The following is a 12,526-nucleotide window of genomic DNA, read 5'->3' on the forward strand; positions in this document are numbered from 1 at the left end:
CTGTTTCTCAAAAACCTGTTGAAATAAAAAATAATCTAAAATAATAAAAAAAATTTAAAAAAAAATACAGGAGCATTCTGTACATTTTGATTTAGCTCTCACTGTTGCTTACCTTCCAGAGTTGTCCTTCTATTGTTGCAATTTAATTTTTAAGTATTATTTTTAATATTTTCTGTATACTAATATCTGTTGAATGTTAATTTTATGTTATAATAATTTTCTACACTTAACTAAACTGTTCTCACATTTTTTATTTTATTGTGATCAGCCTTAGGAGAGAGTTTTGCGTTTATGGAAATGGTTTTACAGAACAGAAAGTAATCGGTATTAGGCCATACAATCTTTAATGTCATTAAATCACAATTTAAAAAAAAGTCGTGTTTCATACTAGTGATTTTTGCGTGTTTTTTTCTTATTTCAGGATTAATGGGGAAGTTTCTAGCATTTCATCAAAATTTGAAACTGAGCCAGTATCAAAACTAAAGCTAGATTCTGAACAGCTGCCCCTTAGACCAAAATCAGTAGACTTTGATTCACTTACAGTAAGGACCTCCAAAGAAACAGGTAAGTCAGCATGGACAGCGGTGGTGCATTTAAAAAAAAAAATTGTCAAAGAAACTCTTTAAGAGATATATTTATGCAATTTGTGTGTGGATAAAGTTGGATAAAGTTGAAATTACACAGTTGAAATTTGTTTAAAATTTAGCAGCCAAAGTAGAAATAATAAAAGAAGATAAGTAAAATTTTTATGGTCCTTACTGATCAGACTTTATGGTTTCTTACTGATCAGAGGACTGAAATAGATGTTAAAAGATGACCCATCTATTACTCCCTCTTTATAGTGGAATGACTGTACTACCCAACGGAGATATGAATACACTTTAGTTTTAAAAGTTTAAAAATGAGATGACATAGACTTTCAGTGCCAGCATTAGATTATATTTCATAGGACTTTAAATTTCTCCTCTTAATCTAGAGATACTTTTATTTCCAGTGGAGGAAAATATGCTTTTTCTAACCCTTTTGCTAATTTTTTTTTAAGCTTTAGGACTGGTTTTTCAGCTTACTGATATCTTTGTCTAATCTGTACTTCCTGTTTTTTTTTTAATACCTATTATTATTTGTAAAATGTAAAACTTGAAACGGAGAACTCTTGATAGTTTTCATTATTAAAGGCATTGTGCCTTCATTACTTTCTGGTAATTGTTAATATTTTGTGTAGTGCTTTTTGCATTTGTGTTTAGTTTTTTTGACTTTTTCAAAGCACTTTCTCATGTATGTTCTTAGTTTAACTCTAGGAAGCAGATGCTTTTTTTTCCTATTTGGTGTCTAAACAAAGTAAGCTACAGACACATTAAATAAGCACTATCACATAAATCAAAGGAGAACTCTAAATTTTCATTTTTACTGTGATATTCTTTTAAGAAATCTTAATATTCTAATTTTTCTAGCTTCATTGTTCACATTTCATGTTTACATTTAAAGTTCAAGGGCAGTTACACTTAGATGTTTTTTATTACCTTATTATAAAATATGCTATTACATTTCAGGGTTTTTCAGGTGACCTTATTCTTCCCTCTTTCAGTTTGCGAATGCAAAGTTTCTGACTTAAAGTGTGGCCTCCTTTCAGTCTTTTTATTTGAACATCTTATAGATCCTTTTGTCAGAGTTGGATTCCCCTTGTTATGGATGAAGCTATATTTACTACTAATTTCTGGGAATTGAAATGTTGATTGTATTTTAGAGAAACTCATTGAAATTTATTCGGTATGTTTTATATGGTGAAAATTATCCTTATTAATTGTTTGATAAACAGAAAAAGAATCCTCATGTTTTAAAAAATCATTCTTTTTTATTGAGCTTATCAGTAAATAGAATTTGATCAGTTCATATTGTTTTCTGTTTGATTTAAAATATAGCTAGAAATGTGTTTCATAGGTTATAGTTGAAGAAAAGCAGATTATTTGCCCAATTTTAACTCTGGAAACAAAAAAGTTATTGCAACTATATTTTAAATTTTCACAAATTTGGGGGATCTTTATCACATAAGTCTTTAAATGTTGATGGAGTCCCTTTGGGAATTGAAGGAGTAAAATCTGGAATCCACATCTTGCTTTGTATTCATCTTGAATGTTTTACTTAGTTTATGTCAAAGTAATGGAATTTTTTTTAAAATTTAGGTAAATTACAACATTTTCTTTTTTTCGAAACTTTTCCTATATAGTGTCACAACACACTGCCATATTTCTAGTAAAAATAATATATGTAATAATTTCAAACTATTGATGATTGGAAAGTTCTGTTTTTACTTGGTTTGGGGGACCCTATTTCTATCTTTTATACATAGCTGTTATTTACTCCCTATATAGTAAACAGAGACTTTGTGGAACAGGGTGTGAAAACATCTTATTTCTGATTTGTTCTTTTCTTTCAATAAATAAGGAAATAATCTAGAGATGCTGAGACTTAGCCAAGTCAGAAAACTAACAGCTACTTTCAGGCTGCTGTTCTTTATTCCTTCCACTTAATTATACTACCTTTGGTGTACTATACTTAGGCCCTGTAAAGTTCAGAAAATACAGATGTTGGGAATTTAGTTCATGTTAACTGTCAGATTATTCACTGAGCAGGTTTTATATCCTCAGTCGTGTTTTAGGCACAGTTGCATGCTAAGATAAAAGGCATAATTGATGGAAGTCAGTAGTGTATGTCGTAAGCATTAATTCAGAGATTCCTGCTACCTTTTTAAATTAGACGATCATATGTTCCTAGTATTAGTAATATAAAAGTGTTCTACCTCTTCTGTGATGTTAATACTTCAAAAAAAGTATTTTGGCTCAAATACAGCCTCAAATATAATGTGTGAAACTAGCCTTTTTAATATGTTTTAGAAAGTTGAAAACATACATGAAAAACTTATTGAAAATTTCATTATTAGGCAACGTAATAATTTGAGGTTAAATAATAGAAAGTACACTGACTTTGCTGTTAATAAAAGGGGTTTTATTTACTAGTTGATTGCTGATAGTAAGTTTCTTAATGTTTTTTCCCTTAACTAACAATGGAATGATTTAGTACATGTATATGTCTGCTGGAATACCTGACATGGAAGTTATTACAAATGTTATTTTTCCTTCTTTCCTCCCTCCTCCATTGTTTTAAACCCATCCCATTTTGTTTTTGTTCTAATCTATAAAGGATATAAATCCCTGACTTTGTTCACAGATATGATTTTCTTATTTATAAAGTCATATGTAAACGTTTATGTGTATATATAAACTATGTATATAAATGCAGACTGACTTTTGTACATGTAAGAAAGACATATACAGAACACTCAGATTTTCTTTTTTTAATGACATGACATAACTTTTTAGCTTCTTCATATATATTCTCATATATAATGTAGTTTTATAAATATCAGAGCTGTTAAGAACCATGCTTACAATTTTTTTTCTCTATTACAAACACTTCCTCAAAAATTGGTTTAAGGAAAATCTCAGTGCCACTACTAATTAATAATAAAGCTTGTGTGGTCCACATATTTCTAAAATCATACATTATCTGAAAAGTAAAATTATCTTTAACTTAGTTTTAAAATGTAAGATAGAAAATTTTATAGTAACATAGCTGTTATATTAAGAAAGCCCAACTGATGAAGTTTCCTTACAGTGTAGTATTGTTTTTCTGTGATAAGATTTTCTATGATTAAAAGGCAATTTCATGCCTGTGATCACAGCACTTTAGGAGGCCAAAGCAGGAAGATTGCTTGCATCCAGGAGTTAGAGACTAGCCTGGGCAGCATAGTGAGACTAGCCTGGGTAACATAGTGAGACCGTGTCTCTACAGAAAAAAAAAAAAAAGCTGGGCATGATGGTGTGCACCTGTAGTCCCATGGTGTAGCTACTAGGGAGGGAGGCTGAGGTGAGAGGGTTTCTTAAAGCTGAGAGTTGGAGGTTGTAGTGAGCCTTGATCATGCCATTGCTCTCCAGCCTGGGTGATAAAGTGAGACCCTGTCTCAAAAATAAACAAAAAAAAAGCAATTTTAAAGAAACACATTATTCGATGGAAGCATTCATTGTTGAATAAGGAAACACATTTGTTTTTCTTCAAGTTTATTTGATATTTGGTAGTTGATCTATTTTTTAAAAATTACTTTTCCAATATTTCTCATTTCTTCCAGAAATAATTTATGGTGGAATTTTTCTAATAGGTACCTGTTGAGTAGCATATACTATAAAAAGTGAGCCTATATCTAAACTAGAATTTAAAAAAATTTAGTTTCTAATAGTTTCCTTGATCATACCATATTAAAGACTTGTAAGTACCATATAAGGCATTAGTGAATTTTTATTTATGTATGAAATATTTTAAAGATAGTATTGAGTCATATTTTTATAGTGAGATATTTTAAAGTAATATTTAACATATTTTTCTTCTTTGATACCACAGAATTAAAATTGCTTTTCATCGTTGTAATTTCTATCATGGGCTAAAGACTAAAACTTGACTAAAAGTTGATTTAGTTATAACTACATTATGAGATGTCAACATGCTGATTTATTACTCTGGCCTCTTAAAGCACCAAGCCATCCTTTTGGAAACTGTCTTGGTGTTCAGTGAGTAATAAAACAGGACTTTCTGGCTTAATGCATATTGAAATTAATACTAATATTAATTTTTCCCTTTGAAAGACAAAGGAATAAACCTAAAACCTAATATACATCTTGTGTAAGTTAGATAACCTGCAAATAGTTATATGCCAAACATTGAAATGGTTTTATTCATTCTACAGCTGTTCTTTTTTCCTGTTTTGTAAAATAATTATTTTGGTTTAGTCTTTTTTCTAGACATTCCTATCCTTGACTTTTCTTTCCAGATTTTGTTTCCTAGCCTGTTTGCCATGTTTCCCTTCTTACGTGTCAGGAAATTATTCTACCCTTCTCCATTTTGGTAAGATGAAAGTTTATAAAGCAATCAAAATAGTATTTTCAATATAAATAGGTGGTGCACATTGATTTTTCTTTGTAATTTTACTGAAAGTGTACATGTCTGTCTGTCTATTTATTCTAACCCTTTTGGTTTTCCATTTTTAGATACAATGAAATTCATTTTGGAAAAGTTTCCTGATTCGTTTAAAATATTCTTTTGATAATATTTTTTAAGAAAATTGGCAACCATAAAAATCAGTTTATTTTCTCTCCAAATTGGATATTTCATTTTGCTTTTTAAAAATTTTATGTGTTCCTAGCAACGTGCAGATTGTAAGTGGCTGGCAGAGTGACAATGTGATTGCAAAAGCTAAATGATTGTCGTGCCTGTTATGCCACGTGTACAGTGTAAATCCATTGTTATCCCTCTTAGGTAAATTTAAAAGCATTTAGATATGTCATGAGTCCAAAATGTGCACTGTTCCATTTTACTAACCTAATGGCTTAAATGGAGAACCTGAGAGAGTTTTAGAATAGTAAAGTTACTTGTCTTGGTGTCATAGTTCAAAACTGGACATACAGAAGACATTTTACATGAGCATGGTGTATAATTTTGTAAATCTATGTTTTATTTACCCTTTCAGTTTCATTTTTCTTTGTCTTTTCCTGTGTTTTTCTGTTTCTTTTTCTTTCTGCAAGTTGCTTAAATATGCATTTGAAAATAATCTCTACAGGCTAAAATGATTGGATTGTACTTGTTAAGGTTTTTTCTTTGTGGGTTGTTAATGCACACATCAGTGTAAAAGCAATTTTCACCCTTCAAATTACGACATATTTTAACATCTTTTAAAAATACTGATTGCTTTCTTTGTGATATTTACAAATAACATGACATTTAAACATATATTTAAATTCAACCGCCTTCAGATTATATAATGCATTTTTCATTGTCATTTATTATTATGGTTTGTTATATTTCATGATTATTTACAATTATCAAAAGACTCAAAACAAAAATCAAGCATATTAGAGTATCTGTTTTAATGAATCAGCTTAGTTGATACAAGTGAGAACACACAAAGAAATTGCTAGAAAAAATTATCAGCAAATTATTCTAGTTGTTATAAAATGCATATTACCGAACAGTGATGCCTTTTTTTCTGCCTTACCTTTGTGTCCTCCATCCCTTAAAAGCATTTTCTAAATAAGTTGATGAATAAGTTTTGTGGGCAGTGATGATGAGTATCTTTAGATCTTTTTAAAGAAACAAATAACTGAGTTAGAACATATAAATATCTGACAGAAAGTATTATAAACATCTAGGCAGATGGTAATGTGAAGAATTAATACAGATCTGGACGATTAGACCAAAGGAATCTGCTATTAGTTAGAACATTTTGGCTGTGGTTAATATTCTGAGTTTGGAATCTGGGGTAAAGGAAGGTTATATTAAAAATGGAAGTATCTGTAGCAGTTTACCTTTTGGGTTCTTGATTCATATATAGATATCTGGGCTTTAGAGTTAAAGAAATTTCCTTTAGCAAGACTTTCTGAATCATCTAGGAAAAGGCAAAGTATTATATATCATTGTTGTAGAGTAGATTTGTCCTTAAACCCAAGTTACCAGGTCAGAGGTCAGCCAGCCTTTGATGATGAGGAAGTAAGTTGGTAATCCATGTAGCTTTTTCTCTTTTTTTTTTGGTATCTGATTTGCCTTAGATTTGTAGCTGTCTTATGATTACTAAACACAATAATGTCTAAACAAAGGTGCAGTGAACTATAAACAGTTTGAGTCCCACCTAATACTGTGCACATATATATACACATAAAGGTACATTAAATCATGCTTTTGCTTTATATTGAGAAACACAAATCAAAAGTGGCAGGGTGCCAGATAAAGTTTAATTCTTAACATATGAATATTCTACTTCTTGAAGTTCAAAACAAATTTTACATGCTGATTTTCCGAGATCTTTTAATTTATTATGAGTTTAAGAAGTAGATCTTTGTTAGGAACTTAAGATGAGTTTTTTATGCTACTACAGTTTGTGATACAGATTTATTTTTCACCAAGTACTTTTTGTTGAGATCTAGGTCTCTATTGGAAACAACCTTTATAGTGTTAATAAAGTCATATACTAATATAAATGTATCAGGTAAAGAGGATTTTTTTTTTTCTTTTAAGGGCGAGTGTTGTTTTCCAAATGCATATGAAAAGCACAGGTCAATTTGTGAGTTCTTCAAAGTAGTGGTACTCTTTTTAATTTATAGTTTGTCCAAAAACTGAAACATTATTTTTTACCTTTAAAAAGGTACAGTTCTCTTAGTAAATAATGTTTATTTTTATTTTCTAGATGTTGTAAATTTTGATGACATAGCTTCCTCAGAAAACTTGCTTCATCTCACTGCAAATAGACCAAAGATGCCTGGAAGAAGGTTGCCGGGCCGTTTCAATGGTGGACATTCTGTGAGTTCATCTAATTGTCGTAAACTACAGTATATTTAGCAAATGCAGAGTCCATTGGAAGATAGAGGACTTATAGCTCTACCTAAGTTTGAAAATCAGGAGGATAGCTCTTATACTCAAGTGGCAAATGCTGGTATTTAAGGAGATAGAGGGAGAGAGGTGTGTTCATTCCAACAGGGTCTGGAATGAAAGGTTACAGAATCAGAAGGAAATTATCATGAGGCTATAGCCACAGAGCACAGGGTCAAAGGGTGACAAAGAAAGAACCTGTTTAATTTATCTTTCAACAACAGTTATTAAAATTGAGCAGCAGATACTCACTTTAGGAAAGATTGAGAAAATTTTTTCCCCTGAAATATTCAGTGTTTTTTTTCTTTTCTTTTTTTCTAAATTTTTAAAATTAACTTCAGCAGGTACATAATAGATTTGTATATTTATGGGTTATGTGAGATATTTTGATACAGGCATGAAATGCATAATAATTATATCAGGGTAAATGCGGTATCCATCACGTCATGAATTTATCTTTTGTGTTACAAACCATCTAAATTGTACTCTTAGTTATTTTTAAGTGTACAATTAAATTATTTTTGACTAGTAGTTACCCTGATGCTACCAAATACTAGGTCTTACTCATTCTTTCTACTTTTTGTACTCATTAACCATCCCCCCATCCCTACCGCCACCACACTAACACCCTTCCCAGCCTCTGATAACCATCTTTCTGTTCTCTATCTCCATTAGTTCAGTTGTTTTAATTTTTATAGTGAGAATATGCAAAGTTTGTTCTTCTGTGCCAGGTTTAGTTCACTTAACATAATGAACTCTAGTTCCATCCATGTTGCAAATGACAGGATCTCATTCTTTTTTGTGACTGAATAGTAGTCCATTGTCTATAGTTACCACATTTTCTTTATCCATTTGTCTGTTGATGGACACTTAGGTTGATTCCAATTCTTGGCTGTATTCTTGTGAATAGTGCTACAGTAAACATGGGAGTGCAGATATCCCTTTGATATACAGATTTCCTTTTTTTGGTATATACCTAGCAGTGCTGGATCAGATGGTAGCTCTATATTTAGTTTTTTGAGGAACTTCCAAATTTTTCTCCATAATGATTGTACTCATTTACATTCCCCCCAACAGTGTACGAGGGTTCCCTATCTCCATATCCTTGCCAGTATTTGCTATTACCTATCTTTTGGATAAAAACCATTTTAATTGGGGTGAGGTAATAACTCGTAGTTTTGATTTGTATTTCTCTGATGATTGTTGTGAAATATTCATTGTTTTTGTAGTACTTGTCCTCATGTCTAAATGTATTAACTTCTTTGTATGCTTTTTCTACATTGCCTGGAGTACTGGTGGTACTGTAATGTTAATGTATTAGCTCTTAAACACTATAGTACTTTTAAAATTACCTAAATGGAGAAAATCCTTACTGCTAAGAGGCAAGCTGTTTTTGCCCTCAAGATATGCAAATGTGTTATTCAGCTTGAAAGTATATAGCATCCTATTAATAATAATGGGATATCAGCAACAGTAGCAGCTGAAAATCCATAAAAGTTATTTGCTTTATTATCCAAAGACTTACTACCTTTTCTTTTCTTTGGTCTATTATGTCTCTTGACTTCTAAAAAATCATTTAGCCAACTCACAGCCCCGAAAAAATCTTGAAGTTACCAAAAGAAGAAGACAGTGCCAACCTGAAGCCATCTGAATTAAAAAAAGATACATGCTACTCTCCAAAGGTGAGGTGCATTGTGGTCTAAGGTTTGTTGACTTTCTGGGATTCTTTGTGGACATCAAACATAGGGAATTTAAGGTGTTCTTTAGGACGAATTATTTTTTCTGCCAAGAAATGAAATAATTGCTGCTAAAAAATTGAGTTGTTTAGCTTCATCAGACTATTTTCTGCAAATGTTTTTGAAAGAGCTTACATTTTAATTGAATAAAATAAATATTACATATTTCATATTTTTTAAGGCATAGATCTCTGCATCTATTTCGTTTCTCCATTAAACATACATTCTTAAGGTCAGGAATGAACACTTGTATAGTACTTACCTAGCTTGGTGCTTAGTACAATAATTAAGCATTCAGTATATACTGGAATTAATGGCAGAATACTGTATGTCCATGGATCCTTTCATCTGTTACATGTGTTAGGTGTCTTGTCAAAATTTTTACCATTTTTATTTAACATAGTTTCACTACAACTGAGACATAGATTTAAGAAGGTCATTTAGGTTTCCTCCCAAATTATTTCTTGATTTCATTTCAGGGCATTTTTGTCAGCGTTTCCAATTTATTAAATACACTTAATCTGATTCTCTCAGCTGTCAGCAGTCTATTGAAATTTTATTAAAGTGACTTTCTATTTTTTTAGTGAAATAGTTAAGGGGTGTCAGGCTATGGACTCATTTTAGTGACTCTTCCTGGACCTATTAAATTGTTCACAATTACTTTTAAGTGAAGCTCTTTGGACATTCCAAACAATAAGTATTGAATATGAAAGATCAAAGTAATACCTTTATAATGCTGTTACATTCTTGCCCCTGTTTCACTAGGCAAACCATCCATAATATACATTTGATGGATTTTTCTTTCTTCCTTTTTTCTTCTGTTAATAAAATTGTCATTTTCTACAAAAACCACTAATGATTACAAATGTATTCTTTAGTTGTCTGGTGATTTTTCCAGTTGTGAACATCAAATTGCTTTTGAATTTCCAAATTTGCCACTTATCTTGAAGTACTTAATTGTTTTTCTTCTTGCTGTTAAAATCTTTCGAACGTAAATATAATATTAAATAAAATCAGAAATTTTTTTTTTACGTTTTCAGCCATCTGTGTACCTTTCAACACCTTCCAGTGCTTCTAAAGCAAATACAACTGCTTTCCTGACTCCATTAGAAATCAAAGCTAAAGTGGAAACAGATGATGTGAAAAAAAATTCCCTGGATGAACTTAGAGCCCAGATTATTGAATTGTTGTGCATTGTAGAAGCACTGAAAAAGGATCACGGGTAAGTAGCCCTTCTTTTCTCCTGTGAGTACTACTTAACCCATGCATAAAGAATTTTTTTCAAACCATATTAAGTAAAAATCTAATCTGTGGCTGGGTGTGGTAGTTCGCGCCTGTAATCCCAGCACTTTGGGAGACCAAGTTTGGAGGATTGCTTGAGTCCAGGAGTTCGAGACCAGCCTGGACGACATGACAAAACCCCATCTTTGCAAAAAAAAAAAAAAAAAAGAAAAGAAAAGAAAAGAAAAAGCCAGGCTTGGTGACACATCCCTGTGGTCCCAGCTACTCAAGAGGCTGAGGTGGGAGGATGTCTTGAGCCTGGGAAGTCAAGGCTGCAGTGAGCCGTGAACATGCCAGTGCGCTCCAGCCTGGGCAACAAAACCAAGACCCTGTCTCAAAAAAAAGTCTCTGGTATGAGCAAGTATATTTTCAAAGAAATTTTCATTAACAGTCCTTTTCTCTTTTTGGCAAAAAAGTTAAATTGGTGAAGTTATTCTAGTAGCTGGATTGTGGAAAACGTGCATACATAACCATAATTTTAGGCTAGAAATCTTCTGGTCGGATATGATTAGTTTTTAAACTACTAGGAAAAATATCGTATTTTGGATCTGGTTGTGTATCTATACATATAGTTAACTTAGTTTTCAGAGGATTTGATCACTGTTTCTGTGAGGTTGAGTTGGACATTTATAAAATGAATGTGTTGGGATAGGTGATCTCTAAAACTCTTCCCTTAACTCTGAAAATTTTTTGATATGGTATATGTTGAGAGATACCCTAGTTGAAAGTTAGGGACTTTTTAGAGCTAAAACAAATTTACAAGATCACCTATTATAGGTGAGCTCCCCCTCTGGCTTTTTAAATGAAGAAATTGACAGAGCTAGAACTCAAACCCATATTATCTGTTGGTTTAGAGATGTTTTCTATAACCACTAGTATTTGAATTTTAAAACTTGTTCACATTTTAAGCACAATTCTACAAAAGCCCAGTAGGTAAAATATATTTTAAAAAAAGCAGTTAATCTAATTGAAATGAGAGTGAGGGTGCTCATCCCTTGTCTTCAAATTCCCTTCTAAAAAGATTTCTTGGAATATGGTACAAAAGTTATGGCCAAATAAAAAGTATAAAAGAACAAAAAATAAAAATAAAACATAAATGTTATGGCCAGAGGCCATGTTCCCTCTGAGCCTGATTTTATCATTTCTTTTCCAATTTTAAGTTGGCCTAAGAATCTTATTAAAAATAATATTGAGATTAACAGTATAAGGTATTTGGAGTTTGCAGAACACTTTCACAGGTATTCCTTAGAAATAAAAAATGTATCTTGAATGACTACTTAAAAATATGTTTTATATATTATGTATATAGAGGAGTTTATAATTTAATACATGATGGTATTTCTTGGAATCCTTCAGTTTATCTGTTTTGAAAGATTCTTTTAGTAGATTCTGCAACATGCACATTATAAGCTGTAAGTTTACTTGTCCAGTAAATATTTATTAATCACCACCCATGTACCAGTTAGAGAATTCTCCTGATTCGATTTTGTTGTTTTACATTTTTTATACCATGTCCTGATTTTCATATGCATATTGCCTGTAGGTGCTCTTAAATTAGCTCTAGAACGGATAAAATATTTCTGATTTATATATATATATATATATGTATTTTTTTTTTTTTTTGAATATAAAACATTTTGGAAGTCTTTCCAAAGGGTATTTTCAATATCTTGAGTTTCTCTGGCAAAGTGAAACTGAATGGCAGGTTTTTTTTTTTTTAATATCTAAAAAACTTGCATCAGCAGGAGAAGGGATAAATACTATTGATATATTAATAGAGAAATACTACACAGCATACAACAATAAAAGTAAGTTTCAACATCAATATGAATTAATCTAAACATTGAGAGGAGGGAGCAGGTCAGAAGCATACACGCAATCAGTGTATTTCATTTGTATAAAGTTGAAAAGCATACCAAACCAGAAAATATATTATTTTAAGAATGTATTTGCGTGTGGCAAAATTAGAACAACAAATAAATAATAATAAATACTATAAAACTTTTTCTATGGAAGAGGGGGGGAATAGGATTAAGGAAAGA

At 31.3% G+C, this 12,526-nt stretch overlaps 1 protein-coding gene across 4 annotated transcripts in view; it reads left to right on the forward strand.

Annotated features, from left to right (window-relative positions):
* Positions 1-12,526, forward strand: part of CD2AP (CD2 associated protein) — a 149,475-nt gene that overhangs the window by 121,091 nt on the left and 15,858 nt on the right. For 3 of the 4 annotated variants that reach the window (NM_012120.3, XM_005248976.2, XM_011514449.3), the window contains 4 exons: positions 422-564; positions 7,286-7,398; positions 9,048-9,149; positions 10,244-10,425. In NM_012120.3, the coding sequence (NP_036252.1) occupies positions 422-564; positions 7,286-7,398; positions 9,048-9,149; positions 10,244-10,425 (540 nt within the window). Of the gene's footprint in view, positions 1-421; positions 565-4,879; positions 4,909-7,285; positions 7,399-9,047; positions 9,150-10,243; positions 10,426-12,526 lie in introns of those variants that run through there. The other variant, XM_017010641.2, reaches the window with a different exon arrangement.

The sequence above is a fragment of the Homo sapiens genome, chromosome 6 (assembly GCF_000001405.40).
Source record: "Homo sapiens chromosome 6, GRCh38.p14 Primary Assembly".
NCBI classification, from domain to species: Eukaryota; Metazoa; Chordata; class Mammalia; order Primates; family Hominidae; genus Homo; species Homo sapiens.